Here is a 27,025-nt window from a genome sequence, read left to right as displayed (position 1 = left end):
AAGTATCAAAGATTCTATTTAGTACTTTGCATTACACTTTTAATAGGGAAAACTACTGGCTTTCAAGTCTAGTAAAGGAATGGAAATTGAAAAATGGAAACTTATTAATTCTTCCCCAAAGCGAAAGCATACTTTTATTCTCCTCCTGCTTTCATTGACATGTGGCAATTTCCAGGGAAGAGGCTTACTGATTATTAAAGCAGTGTACTTATTGTACCATCTCTTTTTCAGAAGTATGTGACGCCATCTCACTTCAAGTACTGTGATAACATAACTTTCTTACTTTTCCAACCAAAGACACAGAAATCCCAGTTCCTCTTTTCCTCTAATACAGGCTGTAATGATTTGATCATCATTGCCACCGCCAAAAGTAATTTAATAAACACCCAATTTTGGAGGCTGCAATACTTACACTAAAAAGGACACCAACCAATGAGGCTTGTGGCACATATCACTACAAGCACCTAATATATATTTATCTATACTGTATGATCTCCCAGGTGTTTCTGAACTCTAAATTTACAGTAGTGTATTCTGAGAACCTTCAACTAAATCTCGAGACGTAAAAACGATGTCTGACATGCAGTCAGAGCATCAAAATTATTTAGTTCTGCAGAATTCCATAAAAACAAAATTGTAATTATTCCAAGTCCGTAGCCTACTTCATTTTCAAGCAAAAGAGAGCATTTAGCTCCCGCCTGAAAGTTAATAAATCTCTGGTCAGTGAAACCAGGTGTGGTTCTGGAAAGAAGCCAGGTTCCTATGGTAACTTCGGATCGCCATTTAAGTTGTCTCTCGGCCTCCTGCTCTGACGTCACTTCCGGTGTTACCTGTGTCGTTACCGGGAGCTGTAAACAAGGTGTGCAAGCATCTGAAGAGCTGCCGGGATGCAGCAGAGAGGAGCAGCTGGAAGCCGTGGCTGCGCTCTCTTCCCTCTGCTGGGCGTCCTGTTCTTCCAGGGTGAGTGCTCCGGCTGGCTACGCTCCACTTCCGGCCGGGGGGTTAGGGAAGATGGTCGCTTTTCCGGTTCCGGGTAGGGGGGTCTCCAGAAAGCCCCCGCATAGCTCTGGGAAGGAAGGAGGGAGGGAGCGGGACGTTGGGACGATGTCATCACCACCCCGTTGAGGATAGTTGGTATTTTGTCAGTCCTTTCCTGAGCTTTGGGAGCTTTTTCACCTTGCGTGACCTGTCATTGTAGTTTGGTGATAGCATACTTGATGGAACCACAAAGAGCTCTGGCTTTGGGGGCACCCGGTGTTATTTTGTGGTGTTATTATCAGTGGTTGACCGCTGTCGTTTGGGCGCTGTATACCCTGATTAGAAAGAAAACAGTTCTAGCATTCAGTAGTTTGCCCCAGTAGTTTTGGGAAACAAAATCATGACAGTTGGTAATTTTATTTTTTGTAGGTGATTATTGTAGTCTATAAAATGAAATATTTGCTAGTCACAGAAGGGATGTGATGTGATTCGTTATAGAGAAGCATATCGATGAAAAAGTAACTGCTTTAGCATTTTCATAACTTTTTTTAATACAAGAAAGAGCATATAAATTCTGTTAAAATTTATTAAGTAATATCAGAAGTAGGGTATTCACACTGACATTCACATCTTAAAATTAGGTGAGTTTTGCTTTCATATAATTTTCAAATTGCATAAATTTCAATCCAGCCTAATTACCTTCATCTTAAGGTACAATTATTTCCTGGATTTTGTGTATGTGTGTCTTCCTGGGAAATAAAATATTAGTATATCTAGTATTAGAGTGAATTGCTAAATTTATAAAATTTCCTTGAGGGTAATGGGGATTTCTGAAAGAGATATTTAATATTATATAAATATAAATAGTTTAATATAAAGACTTCAGATGTCCTAAATCTTAGCAGTTAAGGCTGGAAAGTTTTTAACTGGTGACTAATATTCATGTTGCCAGCACACCCCCGATCCCTCCCAGCTGCCTGTGTCATCATAAGTCTCCAGTTTTTAAGCTAAATTACTTTGCAGTATGATATTTAGGCTGGCCTACTGTCACTCCTAATAAACCCAGTCCTCTCTCTCTCTCTTTCACACACACACACACACACACACACACACACACACACACACGAGAAATATTCAAATATTGTCTTATTGAGAAAAAAAATCTGGAAATGGTGTTTTCTTAAATCTAATGTCATTTTGCTTTGAAGAGCATCTGTCAAGTCCAGCAGACCATATAATTCAATCAAACATTTAAAGTTGATTTTACAATCTCTATGTACTTGTGGAATAGATTTTTTGCCTTTTAAAAAATAACTGGTGGCAGGGTGTGGTGGTTCTTGCCTGTAATCCCAGCACTTTGGGAGACCGAGGCAGCTGGATCACCTGAGGTCAGGAGTTCGAGACCAGGCTGACCAACATAGTGAAACTCCGTCTCTACTAAAAAATACAAAAAAAATTAGCCAGGCGTGGTGGCGGGCGCCTGTAATCCCAGCTACTCGGGAGGCTGAGACAGGAGAATCGCTTGAACCCAGGAGGCAGAGGTTGCAGTGAGCTGAGATCTCGCCATTGCACTCTAGCCTGGGCGACAAGAGAGAAACTCCGTCTCAAAAAACAAAAACAAAAACAAACAAAAAAGAAACAACTGGTTTATCATATTATTCACATGCCATACAATTTACTGTCTTAAAGGGCATAATTGAATGGTTTTTAGTATATTCACAGTTATGCAATAATTACCACTATCAATTTTAGAACATTTTCATCACCCCAAAGAGAAACTTGATACCCATTAACAATCACTCCTCACTCTCCATTTCCCTTAGCCCCTGGCAACCACCAGTCTATTTTTTTGTATCTATTGATTTGCCTATTCTGGACATTTCATATAAATAGAATAATATCTGTAATCCTAGCACTTTGGGAGGCCGAGGTGGGTGGATCATTTGAGGTCAGAAGTTTGAGACCAGCCTGGCCAACGTGGTAAAACCCTATCTCTACCAAAAAATACAAAAAAAAAAAAAAAAAAAAAAAAAAATTAGCCAGGTGTGGTGACATGCCCCTGTTATCCCAGATTCTTGAGAGGCTGAGGCAGAAGAATCACTTGAACCTGGGAGGTCGGAGTTGCAGTGATCTGGGATTGCACCACTGCACTTCAGCCTGAGCGATGGAATGAGATCCTGCCTCAATAAATAAATAAATAAATAAATAAAAATAAAGTAAATGGAATTACACAATATGTGCTTTTGGTGACTGGCTTTTTTCACTTTGCATGTTTTCAAGGTTCATCCATTTGTTTGGTGTTTTAAATCTTATGTGGTTGAGTTTGGTTTCATGTCAGTGTTTATTTGCCTTTTGTTTTCAAAGATAAGACCACTTAAATTATTAGATTATTTGAATTCTCCTTAAGTTATAAGTCTGGTCCTGCTATATCAGTTATCTAAGTATTTAGAAATGGTAGACTAGGGGACCTAGGTTTCTTAAACTTTTCTCTCTTTTACTTAGGTGTGCAATATGAATAAAATATCAGTAGATTTGTATTTTAGAAAATGGGGCATACAAGATTGGGGGCTTTATTGACACATTTAATTCTTTCATGTGTAAAATTACTTATGTGAAAATGTGATTTTCTTGTTTTTTCCCCAGACTAAAAAGTTTTTGTTAATTATTATGAGTATTTCTATAGTTGGCTGTTTTTACCTGGCAAGAATGCTTTTCTGCTCAGATGAAGAGATAAAGGCATTAGGCCTGGGATGGACATTTCTGAGTGAATTAATGTTGGATTGGTATTTTTTTTATGAGTGGAAGAGACAAACTGTCTTACATCCATTGGTTTTAAAACATTTTTTAATTTCAGTATATATATGTAGAGAAAAGTACACATGTCATAAGCCTATACAGCTCAATGAATTTTAAGAAACTGAACACACATGGGTAACTAGCACCCAAATCAGGATATATAAAATGTTCCTTGCATTCCAAAAGCCTTCTTTTGTGCTTCTTTCCAGTCATTATCCTTTCTCCCCAAAAAGGAGTCAACACCCTGATGTCTAACAGTATAGAATAGTTTAGTTCATCCATGGATGCAGTGAGCCAAGATCACGCCACTGCACTCCAGCCTGGGTGACAGAGTGAGACTCTGTCTCAAAAAACAAACAAACAAAAAACAAACCGAAAATATTAGTCTGTAAAGATTGATCTTGAGCCTAAACTTTTAGATGTTTTCTATCCTTTGAACAAATGCTTCTGTATCTTAAGCTTGGAAGGACACTGGGAAACTAAACACTTTTAAAAGGCACTTTTCTTTCAATAGCCCACTTATAAAGTTTGCTTTATCTACCAGTACGGGGGAAAAAAAGAATAAAGTTGGTTTTATTCCATTTAAAGTAGTTTTGGTATTTCTTTGCTCCATACCAAAGTCTTCCTCCCCCAAAATAAACAAGTGAATTAGAACCAAAAAAAATCAAGAAAAAGAAAAAAGTTAATAATTTCTTCTAGTTCTCAGAGTTTTATATAAGACTGTACAAAATTATCGTCATTTAGAATTTTTTTTTTCACCAGCCCTGAATTTTAGTTCATCCATGGATAAACTATTACTTTTCTTATTTTTCTTTAACTATACAATTAAGACCCCACATATCCAGTATTTAGATTTCAACAAAATGACTTTAAATGTTTATAACTTTTTGGCAAAATCATGCTCATAAATATGGAGTTCAGATATATTAACAAGGGAAAAATTGGTAGGTAGGTGGGTTTATTGATGGCGTACTTACTATAATTTAGCAAACAGAATTTGGTTTAGTAACCAAAATTTACTATAATTTAGTAACCAGAATGTGTAATTTTAATGCTTATTTTGTAATAATTTTTGTTTTATAAAAAGGAAACTGGGCTGGGCACGGTGGCTCACGCCTGTAATCCCAGCACTTTGGGAGGCCGAGGCGGGTGGATCACGAGGTCAGGAGTTCAAGACCATCCTGGCCAATATGGTGAAACCCTGTCTCTACTAAAAATACAGAAGAATCATTTGAACCCGGGAGGTGGAGGATGCAGTGAGCCAAGATCGCGCCACTGCACTGCAGCCTGGGCAACAGAGTGAGACTCCATCTCAAAAAAAAAAAAAAAAAAAAAAAGAGGAAACTGTTGGTTTGGTCTAGTTGAATAAATATTACTATACTAAACATCCACAATATGCTAGGCTCTGTTTTGGTGGGATCAGGATCTATTGGAGAAGACATAAGTCAACAGATGATTTTAGAGTCTGATACTAAGAGGGAAATGCATTAGAAACCATGAGGATGGAGAGAGATGCTTTGATCTGGCATGAGAATAAAGGAAAGATTTCCTGGAGATGAAGTTAAATCTTGAAAGAGGAATAAGTTTGTTAGAGATAGGGAGTGAAGAAAATATTAGACATAGAGAGGTGCATAAACCGGGCATGGTGGCTCATGACTGTAATCTCAGCACTTTGGGAGGCCAAGATGGGAGGATCACTTGAGCCAAGGAATTCAAGACCAGCCTGGGCAACAATAGTGAGACCCCATCTCAAAAAAAACAAAAAATAAACAAGGCGGGTGTGGGGTGGGGGGCATTAAATAACTTTCCAAGCAGGTTTTCTGAAACTCGCTTTGATTGGATTAGCTTAGATCACATATTGACCTATCTTTATGATTGGGAGGATGTGATTGGCTCTCAAAAGCCAATTAAGTATTAATACACCTCTTCCTATGTCAGCATTAGGGACTTAACCTGTGTAGCTTGAAATTGACCATGGTAGGAGTATTTGCACCACAGAAATTGTCCAACCCTATGTATGTGGACCTTTTATTTTTTGTAAAAATGTTCTGCTGTTTACCAGGACACCACTAGATGTAATGATTGGTTTAGGTAAATCTGAGTCAGCCTCAGCTGGCAGTAAAGTCAGTTGCTGTTTACTTTTAGTTTTCTCCCCTCCCACCAGACTCATTCTTTTCTCTACTCTACTCTTTGGAAAGCTAACTGTATAAAGTACATCATTCAGGCTCTCTTCCTCTGGTTTCCAGTTATATTTGGCCAACGGGAGGCATTGGCAGGAGATTGGAGGGCAGGAGAGAGATCAGGATATTTATTTCCTGCTCCCTCCCTCTCTTGGTGCCATGATCTGTAGTACCTGTATCCCTCTAACAACAGCCCCTGTCAGGTTGCCCACAGCTCCCACTCTTACCAGGATCTAGTAACACCATTTCCTCCCTTTGCCCTTCAGACCTGGGGATGGTAAAAGCTTTGTGCTGCTGTCAGCTTCCTTAACCTTGGGAAAAGTCCCTTCGAAAAGTGGCCTAGGCTAAGCATGGTGGCTCACGCCTGTAATCCCAGCACTTTGAGAGGTTGAGATGGGAGGATTGCCTGAGTTCAGGAGTTTGAGTCCAGACTAGGCAACATAGGGAAACCCCGTCTCTACCAAAAATACAAAAAATTAGCCAGGTGTGGTGGCACACGCCTGTGGTCTCAGCTATTTGGGAGGCTGAGATGGGAGGATCACTTGAACCTGGGAGGCAGAGGTTGCAATGAACTGAGATCGCGCCACTGCACTGTAGCCTGAGCAACAGAGTGATGCCCTGTCTCAAAAAAAAAAAAAAAAAGAAAAGAAAAAAAGAAAAGAAAAGTGGCCCATACACTTTTCACAATCTCAGCTGATTGTGCCTTCCATTGCCTGCCTGGATCCTGACTGATAGTGTCATTTCCTCCTAGCTCATAGGCTGTGTGGGAAAAGGTAGGTATCAAAAAAAAAAAGGGTATTATTAGGAGATCAGGGGAAATGGATGTTGAGCTGGCAACAAACAAATGTTTACCGCATTCGATTTGAGGTCCTGTGGGGGTGATATTCAAGAGAGTATATCCGGTAACACTTGAACACTCAGAGGCAGATCATGGCTAGTAATATAGATTGGGAAATCATTATCCTGTTAGTGGTTGTTAAATCTACAAGTGAATAGGATTGTCCAAGGAAAACATGTTGAATGACTGTATATTCAGGCTGGAGCTCTGAGGAACACCAGTGTTTAAAGAATGGTTAAGAAAAGAATAGCATTAGATATTTGATACATACTGTCAGAGATGTGGGGAGACAGAGATAGAGTGAGTATGTGTGTGTGTATGTGTAACACAGTCAGTGGTGGAGTTGGTTGGAGGGAAACTAAAGAGATTCTAATCTTAAATTGTAACCCATATCTCTTTGTTCTAAACCAAGGGTTGACAAACATTTTCTGTAAAGGGCCAGAGAGTATTTTAGACTTTGTGGGCTACATGGTCTCTGGGGGCAACTATTCAATTCTGCAAAAAATGCAGCCACAGATAATACATCAACAAATGAACATGGCTGTGTTCTAATAAAACTTTGTTTTAAAAGACATTGTAAATGTTTTTTAGCTGTTTACCAAAAGACCACTGGATGTCATAATTGATTTAGGCCAATCTGGTCACACCCAGAGCTAGCGGCAAGGTCAGTTGCTAGTTGTTTTTAGTTTGTTCCCTTTCCACTAGATCCATTTGCTTCCATTTAGCTCATGGGCCATAATTTGCTCACCTTTGCCCTAAACCAACTGCTCCCTTGACATTATCCCTTGGGTATCTCAGAAGCACCTTAAATGCATCCAGAATCAAACTCCTGTTCCCCTGCCAAGCCTAGTACTTTTCTAGTCTTCCTGTCTCAGTGAATGACATCAGCAAGTCGGAAACCTGACAGTCATCCTTGATACCTCCCTTTCCCTAACATTCCACAGCCATACTTAGTTCAAACTTCCCTTCTTTCTTAATGGACTATCGTAGTAGCCTCCTCAGTAATTTCCCCATATTCACTCATTCACTTTTTCTTTTTTTTCTTTAAGAGATGAAGTCTTGCTCTATTGCCCAAGCTGGAGTGCAGTGGTGCGATCTTGGCTCACCGCAACCTCTGCCTCCCACCACCACGCCTGGCTAATTTTTCATTTTTAGTAGAGACGGGGTTTCGCCATGTTGGCCAGGCTGGTCTCGAACTCCTGACCTCAGGTGATCCACCCACCTCTGCCTGCCAACATGCTGAATTTACCCATATTCACTCTTGATTCCTTGTAAGTGTCTTCTCTAAAGTGATCTTTTTTTTCTTCTTTTTTTGAGATGGAGTCTTGCTTTGTTGCCCAGGCTGGAGTGTAGTGGTGCGATTTCGGCTCACGGCAAGCTCTGCCTCCCAGGTTCATGCCATTATCCTGCCTCAGCCTCCTGAGTAGCTGGGATTACAGGCACCTGCCACCACGCCCCACTAATTTTTTGTATTTTTAGTAGAGACGGGGTTTCACCGTGTTAGCCAGGATGGTCTCGATCTCCTGAACTCGTGATCCACCCGCCTCGGCCTCCCAAAGTGCTGGGATTACAGGCGTGAGCCACCGCGCCCAGCCTAAAGTGATCTTTTAAGAATGCAGATTTCATCAGGTCTCTTCTTGCCCAGTCCCACAGTTAAGTACTTTCCATGGCTTCCTATTACACTAAGGATGAGGACCCAAATCTGTAAGGTCCTGCCTGGTCTGTTTTTTGTTTACCTCCCAGCCACATCTCATTCTATTTTCTCTCCCTTTCGTGTTTTTTTGTGTTGCAGTCATACTCCTTTTCAGCTCCTTGACTGACTGAGCTCCTTCCTGGTGCAGGACCTTTGCATGTGCTGTGTCTTCTGCCTAGAATGCCCTCCCTCTCCTCACCTTGTTACCTTTTTCTTCAGATCTTAGCTCAAGAGTAACTTCCAGGGAAGCTTTCATTAACCACTCTCCTCTCCCCCATCATAACAGGGGCCGTACCCATAGCCACTTTCTTTTTCCTTCCTTCATAGTAGTTATCCAAGTTTGTTAATTATGCATTTGTCTTTATGATTACTTAATTAATGTATCAAACTTCTGCTGTATTTCAAGTATACAAGGGAGTGTATTTATTTTGCTTGCATTTAATTCCAAACCCAGAGGATGGCACAAAAGAGATGCTCAAGAAATGTATGTTTGAAGAATGAGTGAATGAATGAGAGCATTGTCATGCAAGCTTTGGGATAGAGAAGTTCAAGGAGCAAAGAGTCACTGGTAGAGGACCCAGTAAAATAAGTATAGAAAAGTGTCTACTGGGGTTTTTATCCCTCGGATTTTACAATTTTAAGATATATGATGCCTTTTACCAGAAGTGGTAGTGGAGTTCAGTTGTACCATAAGGTCCATAAGTGAATGGGAAGAAGGAAATGGAGACCTCAAGTGTAGACCACTCTTTCACAAACTTGGCTTAGAAAGGAGAGAAAGGGCAGTAGTTGGTAACTAGAGTAATATTACAGCGTTAAAGAAAGATTTTTTAAAATTGCTATTTGTTTTTAAGGATGGGAGAAACCTGTGTATTTAGAGGCTGAAGGGGAGGGGTTGAAGGCAGTAGAAAGGTTTTTTTTTTTTTTTGAGACAGAGTCTCGTTCAGTCACCCAGGCTGGAGTACAGTGGTGTGATCTCAGCTCACTGCAACCTCTGCTTCCCAGGTTCAAGTGATTCTCCTGCCTCAGCCTCCTGAGTAGCTGGGACTACAGGCATGTGGCACCATGCCTGGCTAATTTCTTTTGTATTTTCAGTAGAGACAGGGTTTTGCCATGTTGCCCCGGCTGCTCTTGAACTCCTGGCCTCATGTGATCCCCCTGCCTCGGCCTCCCAAAGTGCTGGGATTATAGGCATGAGCCACCACGCCTGGCCTAGAGAGGTTTTTCTGCTAAAGCAGGGAATGGAGGGGATGAATCCAGGCAGAGCAGAGGACCTGGCCTCGCATAGGAAAAGGGACACCACATCCTTTCAGGTTGGAAGTAAGGATGGGAGCAGATGCAGGAATGTGTGTGCCTGGGCCGTTTATATGGCCTCGAGTTTCATGACGATGTAAGAGGTAACATTTTCTTCTGAGAATGAGGGGTTTGGAGGTTGCATGGAGGACTAAGGGAGAATGACAAGGGCTTGAGGAATCATGGAATGGGAAGCTAAGCAAGGCCAGTTAAACGTTTGCCAGGCCTCGTTGAGGACTCAGCTGTGGGAGATATTCACGCATTTCTTATGGTAATTGTCCAGTCGTGTGATTTTTCTTGTTCACAACTAGCCTAGTCTGGTCGTCTAGAGCTGAGCTTTTTCTGAAAGGGTGCAATGGAAAGATAGGAGTGTAGGGGAGTTAAGAGTATTGCATGTACTATAAAAAAGGTGATAGGAATAAAGTGGGTGATTTACAAGCATGCTTTGTTCCTATACTAGAATTTCTGGTGACCTGTCCACCTGTTTCTCTCAGTGTCCCTCTGCCTGCTCCCCTCCCTCTGAATTTTTGCCCTGAAGGTGCTGACATTTAATAGAGGAATAGCCTTTGTAACTAGGTGCAATCGATGGCATCTGTGCCTGTGCAGGATTATGTACCTAGTGTTAGGAGGAGAAAGGGCGATGAACCGCATCAGGGAATTTGGGAAGGCACCGCAAAGGGGGCCGATATTTGAGCTGGAATTTGAAGGTGTGTGAATGTTGGGATATGGTGTGGTGGGGAACAACCCAGGCAGGATTATTAGAGGTGGGGAGAGCCTTTCAGACAGAGACCTGTTCAAAGAAAGGCTCAGTGGCATGAAAGGACACAGTACATGTGGGACATGGCAGGACATTCAAGTAATGATGAAGGGATTGGGAAGGTAGATGGGATGCAGTGACAGAAGTTTAGGGCTAGATTGCCACTCTCTGAATTTTATTTTGTAGTCCAATAGGAAATTACTGAAAGTTTTTGAATATGTGTGGTGTTCATTTTAATAATAATAGCTAATGTTTATTAAAGTTATTATTCCAGATGCTGTGCCAAGCGTTTCATGTTGTGAAATGAACAACATGATCAAAATGAAAAATTTTCTTTTTTGATTGTAGTGGCTCTTCAGAGTGATCCAGTGAAGTAGATCTTGTTATTATTCCCATTTTCCAAGTGAAGACATTGAAGCTTGAACTGGTTAGGTAACCGAGATCACGGTCTCACAACCAGAAAGTAGCTGAGCTAGAACTCAAGTCCAGCTTTGGCTAATTCTAAATCTGTATTTCAAATCTCAATATTATACTTATGTTTTAGGATAAAGGAATGGACATGGGGAGAGTGTAGATTGTCCATTCATTTCCACCTTCCAGTTTTTAGAGCTAGATCTTGAGTGATGAATAAGGATTTTCTTACAGTGATGGGTCAGGATTGAGGGCCTAAGAAAGTGGGGACTGAGGGATAAAAGCTTTCCAGCAGAGGGACAGCATTTGCAAAGGCACAGAAGGCAGGACAGGTTTAGCATGGCAAAGTCGGAAAGGGTGCCATAGGCAGACCAGAAGTAATCTTCATCTTTGGGAGGGTCAGATTCTTATGAGTTCTTATTAGTGGGTTCAGTTTTGGTCTCCTCCTTTTAAAAGGAATGTCAACAGACTGGATTGTCTAGAGAGGAGCAAGAAAAATGATTCAAAGCTGGCAGAGGTAGAGGCAGTGGAACTGATGACTCATAACTGTGACAGGAAAGGTTGAGAGTGTGTGGGCAGGACTGAAGAGGTGGCAATAATGACAATGACACTGTCTAACACGCACTGAGCACTTACTCTGGTTCGGGTAGGCTTCTTAGTGTTGTATGTGTTTTAACTCTTTTAATCCTCACAGTGGCCTTCTGAGGTAAGTACTGTTATTATCATTCCCATGAGGCTGAGAAGACTGAAGAAGTACGGTAACTTACTAAGGCTGCAGAGCCAGCAGGTGACAGGGCCGGGATTTGAACCCAGACCCTCTGGTGTAGGAGCCGTGGCCTGCGTGCTCAATCACAACACCATTCTGCCTGTACCAGAAGCACTGCCGATTTTCAGGACAGCGTGTGGGTTTGCACTTTTCTGAAATCTTGCTGCTCTGTTTATCTTGGCCAGCAGAAGATTCATGGCTTCTTGAGGTAGATAAGGAAGCAGGAAGAACAAAGTACTGGCAATGTCATTTCCTAAAATATGCCCCTGTAGGGAAAGATAAGTTTTTGTTCTCTGAAAGCAGAAGGAACTGGTTAGAACAAAGTGCCAGCCCTTTTCAGAGAGATGAAGTGTCAGAGTTGGATAAATGAGTGGTTTTGGAAGACGTAAGTCTCTAGTGGGTTTTAAAATGGTACCTTATTTTTACTTGCTAGAATGCATTTACCTATTCTGTTTTCTTCTCCATGATTTACTTTTAATGGATGTGTGATTCCTCAGCCAGCTTTAAGAAAAAGGGAAAAACTAGATAGTACCTTGGGGGCAGTTTTAGAAAATTATTTGAAATAAATTCTCCCATTCTTACTTCCTATTCTCATTTTGCTGTTGATGAGGCAATGGTAGCTTCATGATGCAACCATGCTATACTTGGGGTAAGTCCCTTAGACCACAAAAGCTGCCATATTCCCAGAGTGTGTGTGTGTGTGTGTGTGTGTGTGTGTGTGTGTGTGTGTGTGTGTGTGTCTGCGGGGGATGGAAGGGGATGGGTGATGTTGCCTTTTAGCCAGCCATGGGCAGACCCATTGTTTGTACTTAATTGAACCACAAGCCTGTATTCGGGAAAACGCTGGTGTGACCAGATTTTAAATTTTTACACAAGCATTCAGTTGTGATTTAAGATTAGAAAATGATTGAAAAATGCTATCTTTGATTAATGCAGATATCAACTCCTTGTCCCTTGTGGGCTTGCCTGAGAAGATAGTTGTTAATATTTATTGCTCTGGCTTTTTGATGAGGGCTCTAAAAATAATTGTTCACTCACATCTGTATATTCCACCCACATGAATGCATTTTAAGTGTTTGGGTTTGCTTTGATTAGGTGTTTATATCGTCTTTTCCTTGGAGATTCGTGCAGATGCCCATGTCCGAGGTTATGTTGGAGAAAAGATCAAGTTGAAATGCACTTTCAAGTCAACTTCAGATGTCACTGACAAACTTACTATAGACTGGACATATCGCCCTCCCAGCAGCAGCCACACAGTATCAGTAAGTGTGTACTTTTTCGGAATGTTCCTTTGGTCAACAGTTTTGGAATTGTTTTACTGCAAATCATAGGCATGCCTGAGGCCATCTCATCTTAGAGTAGAAGATGGGCTTCTACTTTAATAGAGATAGATGAACTTTTATCCTATATGACATTCATTTGGTCACGCAGGGCCCCACGTAAGAATTCTGTAAATAAGCTGCAGGAAAAAAGCTGTCAGAAACTCAGAGGAAATGTGGTTTAATTTTGTTTCCTCTTTGTTGTTTCTTTTTGCATTATTTCATAGCTTCATTTTCAGATTTAATGTACTAAAAAGGGTACCTTCAGGACTATTGAATAGAAAAATTCTATGGGTCCAGTCATGGACATCCTTTCTCTTAAGGCTGCTCATTTTCTGTCATATTAAGTTGTCTCAATGGGTGTATCTGTTTGCATATTTGCGCTTTGTGGAGTTATCTTGGCACTTTCTCCCAGTGTATAAACATCTGCATTGATTTATATGGCTGCCTTTGAAGGAAATGGTGGCACCTCGTGTTGGTGACAGATGTTGGTGACAGATGGTCTTGCAATATTGGAAGCAATATACCTTATTGAGGTATATTAGTCACACATATAAAACACATTTATGGTCCAAGTTTCATTGTAGGTGTCTAATTGAAGATTAAAATGCTATAAAATTTTTTTCTCTTTAAGCTTCCAGCAGTATCCTTAGCTCAGGATAGATGTTATTCAAGAATGTGAATGTCATAGCTGTATGGAAGATTGTATTTTTTAAAGTATTGTTAATTTATTTATCCCATTTCCTTCACTGGAAAAATGTCCTCTTTGACTTTCATGTATAAATAAGCTTTGCATTCTGTGTTAGGAGCCATTATAGAATGCCACATAGCTTGAGGCTAGGTAGGGGACTCCAGTGAAAGAAGCTAGGCTGTATTCATGCTCCCCTCCCACTTTTTTTTCAGACTTGAAATAGTTCACTTGATTCTGAGTGGTCAGGAAACTGTGGCTGGCCTTATTTGGCTCTGCCTCCTTGGTAAAAAGTAGGACAGAGCAAGCAATGGGGAGCTTCCTGGGTCAGAAACAGCAGCTCTCTCCTAGTGCTGCTCTCTGCAAGGCTGGTCAGAAAATCAACAAACTCATACAAGTTGGAATTAAAGTTACATAACATGATGTTGCAGTCATGGGGTTAGTCAATCAGGATTGTGTCAGATTAATCAATTTGCAAGGGATATGAGTTTCATGAACTTAACATTGAATTCATGGGCTAGACTAATCTCGAGGATACACAGTGGGCCGTGTTTTGTCAATAAGGAGTTTCAAACTCTTTTACACTGATGCTGATAATTAGTGGTAGGGATTCTTTACCTCCCCCTTTGAAATGTTCAACACACTTATTATTTCTCATTATCTGTCTTTATCACTAAAATGTAAGTTCCGTGAGAGTAGGGACTATGCCTGCGTGGCTCCCACCATATCCTTTTGCTTAACAATGCCTAGCACATTAGAGATCTGCACCAAATATTTGTTGAATAAATGCATGAACAAATGAATGAATAAGTGAGTCAGCATCTTTTCTGGGAAGTTGCTTTTCAAAATTGGGCAATTCAGTGGTTGTAAACACCCAGGTTCCTAAATGGGAAGGTACCAAGTAACAAAGAAAGAGGAAAGCCTGTATTTTGCATAAGCCATATTGCATAAGTCATATTATATTGTAATACCTGCCTGGCCTGCCCCAGGTATAATTAGGCTTTTGGTGATGAAGTGTCTAATCAAGGCTTTTGATAAGTGTCTGATAATTAGGCTTTTGGTGATGAAGTGTCTGATCAAGTCCTAGGCAGCATTATTTTAATTCAACATATATTCACTGAGTACTTATCAGGTATTAGACTTAGGGATTATATTAATTGTCAAGATAGATAACTTGAGAGAGGCTGAATTATATTACAACCTCCTTGTGATTTTGAGAATAAGCAAAAATCTCCCTTTTGTCACTTACTAGTTGTATACCGTAGAGCAACTCACTTAGTCTTTTGTTTGGCTTTGTTTTCTTTCTTTCCTTTTTTTTCTTTTTTTTTTGAGGCGGAGTCTAGCTCCGTTGCCGAGGCTGGAGTGCAGTGGCACAATCTCGGCTCACTGCAATCTCCGCCTCCTGGGTTCAAGCAATTTTCCTGTCTCAGCCTCCCAAGTAGCTGGGATTATAGGTGTATGCCACCACACCTGGCTAATTTTTGTATTTTTAGTAGAGATGGGGTTTCACTATGTTGGCCAGGCTGGTCCTGAACTCCTGAGTTCAAGTAATGTGCTCACCTCGGCCTCCCAAAGTGCTGGGATTACAGGCGTGAGCCACCATGACCAGCCTGTTTCCCTTTTTATACATTTGGAATAATTATACCTGCCTCATGTAGTTCAGTGTAGTCATGAGGCTCAAGTGAGTAAATGTGTGGAAATTATTTGCAAACTATAGAGTGCTATTCAAATACGAGATGCTACTTTAGAACAAAGTTTCCCAACTTTGGCACTGTTGACATTTTGAGCCAGATAATTCTTTGCTGTGGGTGCTGTCCTGTGCATGGTAGGATGTTTAGTAGCATTCCCGGCCCCTACCCACTAGATGCCGGTAGCATCTCCCCAGTTGTGACAATCAAAAATGTCTTCAGATATTGCCAATATCTCTTGGAGGGTGAAATTGCCTCTGGTTGAGAACTATTATTTTAGGGTTCCAGGGAGAATTTAGAAGAGATTCAAGGGTTAGGATCCCAGAAGTCTCTCATCGGGCCTTTTTCTGATCAGTTTTATTAACCTATAGGATGGAGGTTAAAAAAGCATAAAAAGTTGCCCAACTGAAAAAAAACACACCATTATACAGTTGTATTTTATTTTGGACCTACTGAGCTTTATATTTTCATTGCATTTTCCAAGTTAACCTTTTCTCTCATGGTGTTGCTTTCTTAGATATTTCATTATCAGTCTTTCCAGTACCCAACCACAGCAGGCACATTTCGGGATCGGATTTCCTGGGTTGGAAATGTATACAAAGGGGATGCATCTATAAGTATAAGCAACCCTACCATAAAGGACAATGGGACATTCAGCTGTGCTGTGAAGAATCCCCCAGATGTGCATCATAATATTCCCATGACAGAGCTAACAGTCACAGAAAGGGGTAAGCTCATTGCCACCAACCTTCTTCTGCAGTGCTCTGTGACTGCTGTGGTGCTTTCTGGAGAGCTCGATGATAAACAAAGCTGTCTATCTTTGTAAGCCAGTTGGGTCATTAAATCATTGAATCGAAGTAATTTTTCTGCCATCCCAATATGTATGTTGGGGTGAATTTTTAATCTTTATTTTGAAAACTGAATTTTCTCTCCAAATTTTGTCATAGTTTCTCCATTACCCTTTTTTTAATTTTAACTTTAGGTGACCAAAGTTCTTGTGGAATGCACGGAAAACCCCTGAGTAAATATAGGGTTGTTATCTCTGTGAAATAGAAGTCATTCCAGTTTTCCTAGCATGTTCATACTCCCAGTTATGGCATAGTGTTCTTGCCTGTGTCTTGAAAGGGTACCCCCTCTAACGTTGAGAGGTAGTGCTTTTCTTTTATGCTGCAAAGAACAGTAGTTTCCCTTTAGTGTGAAACAGGAGAAGAGTAGATTAAGGACTGATTTTTTTTTCTATGTTATTCCCTGATGACGATTAAGTGGTCATGCTAGTCCTTAATTGGATTTGAGCTAAAGATTTAGAGGTACATTATGGGTCATTATAGATTCGTCATCATTTCTCAAGTCTTTCTCAAGTTTCTCTCCCTTGCTCTTTTCCTCCTTCTCTCCCTCCCTTCCTTCCTTCTTCCTTCTCATCTTCCCTTCCTTTCTCCTTCCCTTCCTCTCTCCCTGTCTCATTTCTTCCTTCTCTTTCTCTTTCTTGCTTTCTGTCTCTCTCTTTCTTTTTTCTTTTAAAGGTAATAACTTGTAGGTTTCAAAGATGAGCACATTCATACTGCTGGCAGAAGAATAAAATGATACAGTTTTGCTGGAAGGCAGTTTGGTAGTATGAATCAGTGCCTTAAAAATATAGGCCCTTTGATCTAGTAATTCCATTGTAAATTTCATCTTAAGGAATTAGAGCTAAAGATGAAGATTTATGTACAAGCCTGGCTATCCTAATGTGACTTGTAGATTCTAAGAATTCGAACCAACTTGAATGTCCAGCATTAGAGGATTAGTTCTATAAATTATTCAATGTGATAGAATGCTATGCAGCGATTACACATCACATCTGGAAGGAATTGTTAAATATTTATCATATTATAAGTAAAAAAGGAGGTTAAAATAATATATAATATATGATCCATACTTAAAAATATATATGCCCTCCTTGCACCCCATACCCGATACCCCTAGAAGAAGATTAAATGGGTAGATACCAAAGTGTTCTTCCTAGGTAGTGGGATTATCGGTACATTTTTATTCTTCATTGTACTTTTGTGTATTTTCTACCTTTCACACAATGATTTATTACTTTTGTAATCAGAAGAAATATAAGAGCAAAAGTAGAACCTAGTTGCTCATGTCGCAGGAGGCATATTTGCATGTCCCTGTCTTTTACCTTCTCTTTCTCCGCCTCTAGGTTTTGGCACCATGCTTTCCTCTGTGGCCCTTCTTTCCATCCTTGTCTTTGTGCCCTCAGCCGTGGTGGTTGCTCTGCTGCTGGTGAGAATGGGGAGGAAGGCTGCTGGGCTGAAGAAGAGGAGCAGGTCTGGCTATAAGAAGTCATCTATTGAGGTTTCCGATGAGTAAGTCCAGCAGGAGCCCTGGGCAGCAAGCCTGTTTCCTCCTTAGCGCTCTACCCAGACCCCCACATCCACACCTTCCTTTCTTCTGGACCGAGTTTAGTTCTGCTGGTGAACTTTCTTTTCAAAGAGAATAGTTCTGCTAAGGGGCGCCAAAAGGAAGGTTGAAAGTGATGTGTGTGAATATTAATTTGGAGAGAGATGGGGGAGTTGATATATGGTCCTAGTCTTCTGCTTTGGAAATCAGATTGTACAGTGCCATGGTCTGAATAAATTCTGAAGTCAATGTTTCATTCTTTCAATTCCAGGTCAATTATTTTTCCTTCACCTTGTATTTGGCACTGAGCTGATGATGTCTCCTGACAGAAAATGCCTGAGCAATGAGAGAGGCTTTAAGAATAGCTGTGGAGGGCAAAAGCGATTTGAATAAGCGAGATCTATTCTTGGTCCGCATATATTCTGAAGGGAGGGGCTACATGGATCGTGGTTATTAAAAAGATTTATTAAACATTATTCTGCCAGTAAGCAGGCATGATCTAGTAAATTCCCTAAAAATAAATGTAGTAAAAGGAAATCAAAACAAAAATCTACGTAAAACCCCTTTTCTCCATTATCTATGTCAGGGGAGGGGAGTCTTACATTGAGAAGGTCCAAAATTCAATCTCTCTCTGTGTGTGTGTGTGTATGTGTGTGTGTGTGTGCATTTATTTAATGATAAGAGAGCACCCTGTGCCATTTCCAAGGAATCTGTGGCTCAAAAAAGACAAAGAACTCTTGGTAAAAATGCTAATGTCTATTTCTAAGCATGGTATCCAAAACCCCTTATGATTTTACTCTAAGTCACATTGTTCCCTGACATCTCCCCACGTCCCAGCTGCCATGAACTTATTTATGTGCCCTAACATACTATACTTCATTCGTATATTTTTCCTAACTCATTCTCATCCTCTAAGACCCCTCCTTTTGACTTGCTGGGAATGCCCTCTTTCCTTCTCTTGTTTGCCTGGAAACTCTTTCTTATCCTCCAAGACCCAGCTGAAATAGCCCCTTCTCTTGAGTTTCCCTGAGACCTCAGGGGACAATTAGTCACTCCTCACTCTTTGCTGCTGCAGCAGTTTGATGTTAACTCTATTAAAACACTTATCACACTGCATTATAACATATTTGTTAAGTTTTAACAGGTCTCTCACCCCCATCATGAGCCCTTCACAGGCTCAAGTTTTATTTATCTTTTTACCTCTAGGCTAGCACAATGCTCAGACTTTGTCAGTGCTCAGTACACTTCTGAATGAGGGATAATTTATTGAGCATTTATTATGTGCCAGGCACTATGGTATGTGTTTCACATGTATTTATTTTTTATTTATTCCTAACAACTGTGCTTTAAGGGTGGGTGGTAATATGTGCATTTTTTGTTTGTTTGTTTTTTGATATGGGAGTCTCACTCACTCTGACACCCAGGCTGGAGTGCAGTGGTGTAATCTTGGCTCACTGCAACCTCTGCCTTCTGAGTTCAAGTGATTCCCCATCTTAGCCTCCTGAGTAAGTGGGATTACAGGTGTGCACCACAACGCCCAGCTAATTTTTGTATTTTCAGTAGAGACGGGGTTTTGTCATGTTGGCCAGGCTGGTCTCAAACTCCTGACTTCAGGTGATCCACCCACCTCATCCTCCCAAAGTGCTGGGATTACAGGCATGAGCCACTGCGCCTGGCCAATATGTGCATTTTATAGATGAGGAAACAGGCTTCTGGGGCTTAAACAATTTGCCCAGTCACCCAGCTAGTGAGTGGAAGAACTGGAATCTAAAACCAGACCTGTCTGATTTCAACACCTGTACTTTCAACTGCTCTACTCTATTGAGGATAGTGGTGATTCAGATTTGGTTTGTCCTCTTTTTACAGCACTGATCAGGAGGAGGAAGAGGCGTGTATGGCGAGGCTTTGTGTCCGTTGCGCTGAGTGCCTGGTAAGTGCATGCCATTCCTTCTGCTTACTGTTGATGTCCCACTTTCCTGCTTACCTAAGAGGATCCATCCTATGCCCTCAGAGGCAGCAGAGGATATGCAGGTAGGTCCAAGCAAGATATGAACCAGCATCTTTCCCCAAAGCATTTTGGACTCAGGGGACCCCTACCAATTCTAACCAAGATTTTGTTTCCTGTCTCGTGGTCGTAGAGCAGTGGTCTTAGGTTAGGGAAGGGGGCCACGTAGAGTAGTTTCTGCTGACTGACAGAAAATCCCAAAACAGGAGTGTCCTATGCCACTGAATTCATACTAGGAGACTTCGACTGGCTGGACTCGACCCTGAATTTAACTTTTCTACTGAGCTGTAGTATTTTTCAGGGAGTTAGGTTGATATAACCTTTTAGGTAACTTGATGTCTTTTATCAATAAGAAATACCACCCTGGAAGGCCCAAGTTTTGATTTAAATGTCAAAAGGCTGTCATCCCTCCTGCTTTGAGTACTCACTGTGACTAATGACAGAATCAGAGAGTCCAATTAGGAGGCTGGGGTGGGTGTCCTAGGATCCCAGCAGGAGGGAAGACTCTCTGATGTGGTGCAGTTGGAAACAGGTCACAAAGAACTTCTGATCTCATATGATACATACCTGTCATTGCCTCCTGTTTACTTATTGCCAAGCTCACACTTGGCTCGATGACTAATTGCAGTGTTTTTTGTTTTTCTTTGTCTCATGCACTTGAGTATCATAGGGAAGATGAGAGAAAGGTTGGTAATGCCAGTGCAGAGGACCTAATACCAACCTTTGGAGGCTCGGATATTTTTAAGAACGCAAAATAAGTTAATGTTCATACGGTTATTATCCACATTTCAGATATTAATCCATTCAACAGTGATTTGTTGAGCATCTGTCACGTGCCATATGTACTGTTCTAGGTGCTTAGGAACCAGCAGTGAACAAAACTGAGAAAAATTCCTGCCCTCCGAGAACTGAATGTTCTTTGCCTGGAAAACTTTCTCATCCTCTAAGACTCTGTTGAATTGGGGTACAAATACTCACAAAGTTTTTAAAAATAAGTAAAATATATAGTATATGAGATGGTACTTAATGATATGGAGAAAAAAGCAGAAAAGGGGGATGGGATGGCTGGATGGGGGTGTGACATTTAATAGGTTAGGGACAACCTCAGTGAGAAGATACTCAAGCAAACACCTAAGAGAAGCAAGCCATATGGCTATTGTGGAGGAGCGTTTCAGGCAGAAGAAGTGACTGGTGCAAAGGCTCTGAGGAGGGGCCATGATTGGCATATTCTTGGAGTAGCAAGGGGGCAGTATGGCAGAAATGAAGACAGCAAGGCAAAGAATACTATTTGTTGACATCAGAGAAGTAACGCAGCAGCTAGATCTTACAGAACCTTATAGATGATTTTAATGACCTGGACTTCTACTCAATGAAATGGAATCCATTGGAGGGTTTGGGAAGAGAAGCAGTATCAACTTATGTCTGTTTAAAAAGTATTACTCTGGCTTTTGTGTTGAGAATGGGTGGTAACGAGCAATGACAGAATCAGAGAGTCCAAGTAGGAGGCATTTGCATTAATCCAGGTAGCTGAAGATGCTGGTAGTTTGGACCAGGGTGGTGGTGGTGGAGGTGGTGAGGAGTGGTTGTATTCTGATTATAGTTTGAAGGTAAAGCCAGAAGGATTTACTGCTTCTGCATTTATATATGAAAAAATGAGAGGACTCAAGGGTAGTTCCAAGATTCTTGACTTGGGCAACTGGTAGAATAGAGTTACCATTTGCTAATATGTGGAAGTCTGTGGGTGAATCAAACTTTAGGAGGAAGAACAGAAGTTGGGTTTGGACATATTAAGTTTGAAATACTTATTAAACTTCCAAGTGGAGATGTGGAGTAGGCAGTTGTGGGTGTGGAGTTGAGAAGAGAGGTCTAGACTGGAGATAGAGATTTAGGAGCCATTAGCAGATAGAGACTGATAACAGACATTTCCTCCAGGGAAATGAATGTAGATAGGGAAGGGGTCAGAGGACAGAACCTGGGCCCTCCAAGATTTCTAGGATGGGGAGATGAAGAGGAATTATTAGTAAAGAGGCTAAGAAAGAGCGGCTAGTGAGATAGGAAGAAAACCAGGAGATTTTGGTATCCTGGGAGTCAAGTGGAGAATTATTTCTAGGAAAAGAGAGTGATCAACTGTGTCATTTGCTGTGGAGTCAGGTGAAGTAAAATGAGAGCTGATAATTGATTATTGGATGATTTGGGAATATGGAGGTCATTGGTGACCTTGGCAAAAGGATCTTCAGTGGAATAGTGGGAATGAAAACTTGTCTGGGGTGGGGTCAAGAAAGATTGCAGAAAGATGCATTGGAGGCAGTGGGCATAAACAACTCTTTCAAGGACTTGTGCTGTGAAGGGATGCAGAGAGACAGGCAATACGTGGAGGGCAATGTCACTGGTGGCTTTTCTTTTTAAGATGGGAGAAAATGAACACATTTGTATGCAGATGGGAATTATGTAGTAGAGAAGGAAAAAATTGATGCTGCAAGACAGAGAGGAGAGGATTGCTGGTGTAATGCCAGGATCTAGTGCATAAGTGGAGTGGAGATGTTGACCTTAGATAAAGTAAGACAGGGAGAGTGTATAAGAACAATAGGGAAGGCCAAATAGATGGATCCAGATGTAGATGAGTGGCCACATGTGATGGAGCTTGTGGAAATTCCCTACTAATTGCTTCTCTAGTCCCAATCATGGGAGAAAGCAAGGCCGTCAGCTGAGAATGATGGGAAGAGGAGGTGTTGGAAGTTTGGGGAAAGAGGGAAGGGTATGAAATAGTCATCAAGGAGAATAAATAGACTAGAGAAGTGTGGTATGCCAGTTAGTGCTAATGGCCCACTTGAAGTTAGAAGTAATGAATATGAGTATGAATAATAATAATGGTAACAGGAGCTAATCTTGAATGAGTGCTTATGAAGTGCCAGGCAGTGCTAAGTAATTTACATATATTGCCTCATTCAATTCTCATAACAGTTCTATGAGGTGTATTTTTATTATCCCCATTTTACAGATGAGGAAACTGAGGCTTAGAGAAGTTAATAACTTTATCCAAGGTCACACAGCCACAAGAGGTGGAACTCAGTGGTAGACTGACACTTAGTCTAAATTCCTAACCACAATTTTGCACATTTCTGCAAGAGAGTGAGGAGAGGATCGCTGGGGTGATTCCACTGACACTTGTTTTGCTAAGAAAGGGTGCGGTAGGCGGGCATCTTTTCTTGTGTGTTGAGGTTCTAAAAAATATTCACCAAGGGAAAGGAAACCACTAGGGCTTCAAAGCAGAAATTAGCCCAATAGACACCAATTATATTGAGGTCCTGTGAAGCTCCGTGGGAATTTAGGTGTATTGAGTCAGTGGCATTTCACTGTGGCTGTCTCCCCAAGCCAGGTTCCATTTGGAGGATCCTAACATGTGGTCTTTGCCTAAATTCCAACTCTGGAATTGTGTTTCACACCTGCTGTTTTGCTCCCTCCAGGATTCAGACTATGAAGAGACATATTGATGAAAGTCTGTATGACACAAGAAGAGTCACCTAAAGACAGGAAACATCCCATTCCACTGGCAGCTAAAGCCTGTCAGAGAAAGTGGAGCTGGCCTGGACCATAGCGATGGACAATCCTGGAGATCATCAGTAAAGACTTTAGGAACCACTTATTTATTGAATAAATGTTCTTGTTGTATTTATAAACTGTTCAGGAACTCTCATAAGAGACTCATGACTTCCCCTTTCAATGAATTATGCTGTAATTGAATGAAGAAATTCTTTTCCTGAGCAAAAAGATACTTTTTGATTCATCTTTGCTCTGGAATGTATTACATGTTTTCTTCCAACTGTTTGAAGGAGAATTTTGAATGTTTGCCACACCGCTGATACCCAAATAATTTTTTAAATGAAGTGGAGCTTGTGGCTTCCTGATGTGTCACCAGACAAAATATTCGCTTGGGATATGTATTCTTTGTTTTTTGCTCCATGTACACTTTCAGCTGTGAGTTAGTATAGGGCGTATACTTACCGGTTTAATGACCTCAACCTCAGTTGTGTTTGGATAACTTAGGGTGTATACCCTTAGTTTCCTTAGAGTTGGTAGGATCAAGTCATTGGTTTGCTTTGACTGGGTTTTTAAAGTATTAAGTACAGTGTCATCAATTTACAGTTAAGGAAAGGAATCGTGAAGTAGAAAAATTATTTTCTTTAGTCTTGCTGGTACAATTTGGGCTAAGGAGTCTTTGTTATTTTCTGTCTTGCTTTTTTTTTTTTTTTTTTTTTTTTGAGGCAGAGTCTCACTCTGTCGCCAGGCTGGAGTGCAGTGGTGTGATCTTGGCTCACTGCAACCTCTGCCTCCTGGGTTCAAGCGATTCTTGTGCCTCAGCCTCTCGAGTAGCTGGGATTACAGGCATGCGCCACCACACCCAGCTAATTTTTGTGTTTTTAGTAGAGACGGGGTTTCACCATTTTGGCCAGGATGGTCTCAATCCCCTGACCTCGTGATCCACCTGCCTCGGCCTCCCAAAGTGTTGGGATTACAGGCATGAGCCACTGTGCTTGGCCTGTTATTTTATTTTCTTATAACTACAACTTTTCTTCTTGAATTTTCAGGTCAGAGGCAAGAAAAACTCTTTACAGGTTTTTAGTGGGGGGCTTATGGAGTATTTCAGGAGTTCTTTGCAAATTAAATCATCTTTTCACTTGTATTGTTTTTCAAAACTTTGTTGATTTCTAAAATGTGCCAACTGTGAGTAAACTATGGTATTTGCAAGTGGTTTTTACATAATATTTGAGATGAGGAAGTGAGATTGTGCATGACATACTTCTCCTTTGTATTCTCTCAGTGCCTTACAGCAGGTTACTCCATTCTGCTATGACAACTTGTTTCAAATGTTAATTTACATAGGATTTTTTATAAGCCATTAAGGCATATGTATAGTATATCAGTAAAGATGGATGGTGCATATATAAATAGTCTTCTGTAATAGTGATTGGATTTACTTCTCAATTATGAGAGACAAAAATTATCCCCTCACCTGTCTCTATTCTTTCAACAGGTTGATCCCTTTTCATGATTTTTCATTAGGTGGTTCAGGAAGTTTCCATATTACAGCGCTTCAGACTGTATATGTTAGTTTAAAAATCACTTTTCTCTCTCTCAACTTCTTTCTTTTTTTTTTGAAGACTTAATTTAAAAAATTTGGGTTGTTAGATCCGTATCATAGATTTGGCCTAGCCTCTTCTGTTAACCTAGTCCACAGATGAGCGAATCTGGTTAGTTGAAGGACATTGTGATTTGACTCTGGTCACGCGAGGAAGTAGAAGGGCAAAGACAGGACCGGCAGTTTACATTTCCAGTGGTTAAACCTCACGGTACTTTGGGACTGCTTGTTAACTTTTGTGGTTGTCTGAGGCCAATCTAACGTGACCATTTCTGACACCTCAACAGAGAGAGGAAAGCAACTTGAGCAATGAGAGTAAATAACTTGGGCTCTCAGAGATTTGAAGATAGAGATCTCATTGTGAGGGGGACTATTTTGCAGGTCCTCATTTCTCCAAGAAAGAGATGGTGTTACAGGAACCCACTGAAAGCCATATCCCATTAAATGAGGAACTAATTTTGGCTGGGCCTTCTTGTAATGTCCTCGCAGGTGTGTTGTGAAGATTAATGCAGGGTAGTATGTTTGTAGATTGACACCTAGTCTAAACTTGAGGTAATTGGTGCTCTGTGAATACTCAGTCGTGTTCTTTTATAGCCTTAATCATGATTTGAACTAGTCCCTTGCTTTTTAAATGACTGAATGAAGTCCTTCGTGGTAAGGGAGTACGTTGATAACTTAGTTTACTATATGGGTTTGTGGTCGCATCCCAGTCATCAGCTGCTATCATTTTCCTTCTTCATCCCTTATACTGAGATTTGGGTTACAGCTTTTTATTCTTCGAAGGATCACAAAGCAGTGTACAGACACCTGCCTTCTTTAAGGATGAAAGGAAGATAAAGTGGTCTTTTTTTGTTTACTTATTTGTTTCACCTCTTGTTTGAGTAACTTCTAAGGTGCTATTCTCTCTCTCTTTTTGCTACCTCATGAGCTCTTGTCACAGCCATGGAAACCAGCCTCGTTTAGAAAGGGAACTTAGTTCAGAAGGGGTTAAAAGCCTTCCAGAATTTTTCTTTAGCTGCTGAAGTTTTTACATGTGGTTACATGACTTTAAGTTTTATGCATTACGCTCTTAATTCTATTACAAAATGTGGACTCACCAATTGCTTTGTGTTTTCCATGTGACCTGTTACTTCAGGCTACTTGGGGAACATCTTAGTCCTCTGTAGCTCCTGAACCCAGCACTGGTGCTTCAAGAGAGAAGGTAGCACGTCTTTGTTCAAAACAAAACAAAACGACACTTCTGGAGGCCACATCCTGAATATGAATGTTCTACTAAGTCACTCAGTTATGGTTCTAAAGGGAAACTGTAAGAAGACCCACAAGGAGTGGACCAAGACTATTATTTAATTGCACAACTTGAAACTTTGCTGCCAGAAGAGGCAGCTCCATTCCTTTGACTCCAGTGTTGGGCTGTTAACTGCTGCACCTCATTGCCTTTTTTTGTTTTTGTTTTTGTTTTGTAGGAGGGTAGGCACTGTTGGGCCATATGCACAAATATTGTAACTCTTGGTATCTTTACTGCATCATAGTCAATAAACTTCTTTGTACCCTTTGGCTACCTTTTGGTGTGTGCATATCTACATAAAAGGTGGGAATTGTCATGTGAAAAAGATGGGGGTTTGTGGTATTAAAAGCTGAATTAAATTTAAAAGAGTTTAATTGAGCACAGAATGATTCATGAATCAGGCAGTCTCCTGAGCCAGAGTGGACTCAGAGACTCCAGCGCAGCCACGTGGTGGAAGATTTATGGACAGCAAAAGGAAAGTCATGTACAGGAAACAGAAGTGAGGTACAGAAATAGCCGGATTGGTTACAGCTCGGTGTTTGCCTTATTTGAATAGTTTGAATCATTGGCCATCTTCGATTGGCCAAACTCAGTGACTGGCACAAGAGTAGACTAGAGTCCGTATACTATTCCATTTACGTTATAGTTCATGATGTACAGAGAAACCTTTAGGCCAAACTTAAAATATGTAAGGAGGCAGCTTTAGGCTAAACTTGATTTAACAGTGGTTTTCAGCATCGTGCAACCAGTCATGTCGGAGCTGTACCCCCGCAAGAACCTGCAGAGGTTCCGTGGTGTGCTGGAAC

General features: G+C 40.9%; 1 protein-coding gene across 5 annotated transcripts, besides 5 other annotated features; it reads left to right on the top strand.

Annotated features, from left to right (window-relative positions):
* Window positions 375–935: an enhancer, noted in NCBI's record as "NANOG-H3K27ac-H3K4me1 hESC enhancer chr11:118122962-118123522 (GRCh37/hg19 assembly coordinates)". NCBI's record gives its function as "activates a minimal SCP1, AML or CMV promoter by ChIP-STARR-seq in naive H9 embryonic stem cells {active_cell/tissue: H9 hESC(naive)}" and the evidence as "EXISTENCE:reporter gene assay evidence [ECO:0000049][PMID:30033119]".
* MPZL3 (myelin protein zero like 3) lies at window positions 817–26,492 on the top strand. Of its 5 annotated transcripts, none has more exons than NM_001286152.2 (6): window positions 817–960; window positions 12,841–12,971; window positions 15,922–16,132; window positions 17,593–17,758; window positions 19,659–19,722; window positions 23,262–26,492. In NM_001286152.2, exons 1-6 carry the CDS (start codon window positions 888–890, stop codon window positions 23,286–23,288), a joined length of 672 nt encoding a protein of 223 aa, NP_001273081.1. In that variant the 5' UTR covers window positions 817–887; the 3' UTR covers window positions 23,289–26,492. The 5 variants fall into 5 exon arrangements, 3 of the variants coding, with proteins under 3 accessions (NP_001273081.1, NP_938016.1, XP_006718838.1); NM_198275.3 differs by having other exon boundaries at window positions 12,805–12,971; XM_006718775.3 differs by lacking the exon at window positions 817–960 and adding an exon at window positions 11,535–12,094 and having other exon boundaries at window positions 12,805–12,971.
* Window positions 936–1,497: an enhancer, noted in NCBI's record as "NANOG-H3K27ac-H3K4me1 hESC enhancer chr11:118122400-118122961 (GRCh37/hg19 assembly coordinates)". NCBI's record gives its function as "activates a minimal SCP1, AML or CMV promoter by ChIP-STARR-seq in naive H9 embryonic stem cells {active_cell/tissue: H9 hESC(naive)}" and the evidence as "EXISTENCE:reporter gene assay evidence [ECO:0000049][PMID:30033119]".
* Window positions 1,285–1,334: an enhancer, noted in NCBI's record as "active region_5586". NCBI's record gives its function as "activates an Ori minimal core promoter by ATAC-STARR-seq in GM12878 lymphoblastoid cells {active_cell/tissue: GM12878}" and the evidence as "EXISTENCE:reporter gene assay evidence [ECO:0000049][PMID:35858748]".
* Window positions 10,940–12,139: an enhancer, noted in NCBI's record as "BRD4-independent group 4 enhancer chr11:118111758-118112957 (GRCh37/hg19 assembly coordinates)". NCBI's record gives its function as "activates an origin of replication core promoter dependent on BRD2, P300/CBP, MED14 and CDK7 cofactors, and independent of BRD4, by STARR-seq in HCT116 cells {active_cell/tissue: HCT116}" and the evidence as "EXISTENCE:reporter gene assay evidence [ECO:0000049][PMID:35650434]".
* Window positions 11,602–11,671: an enhancer, noted in NCBI's record as "active region_5585". NCBI's record gives its function as "activates an Ori minimal core promoter by ATAC-STARR-seq in GM12878 lymphoblastoid cells {active_cell/tissue: GM12878}" and the evidence as "EXISTENCE:reporter gene assay evidence [ECO:0000049][PMID:35858748]".
* Window positions 26,493–27,025: the final 533 nt, after the last annotated feature.

This window comes from Homo sapiens, chromosome 11 (assembly GCF_000001405.40).
Source record: "Homo sapiens chromosome 11, GRCh38.p14 Primary Assembly".
NCBI lineage: Eukaryota > Metazoa > Chordata > Mammalia > Primates > Hominidae > Homo > Homo sapiens.
The sequence above is the reverse complement of the archived record's forward strand: the minus strand, read 5'-3'. Positions and strand labels throughout refer to the sequence as shown.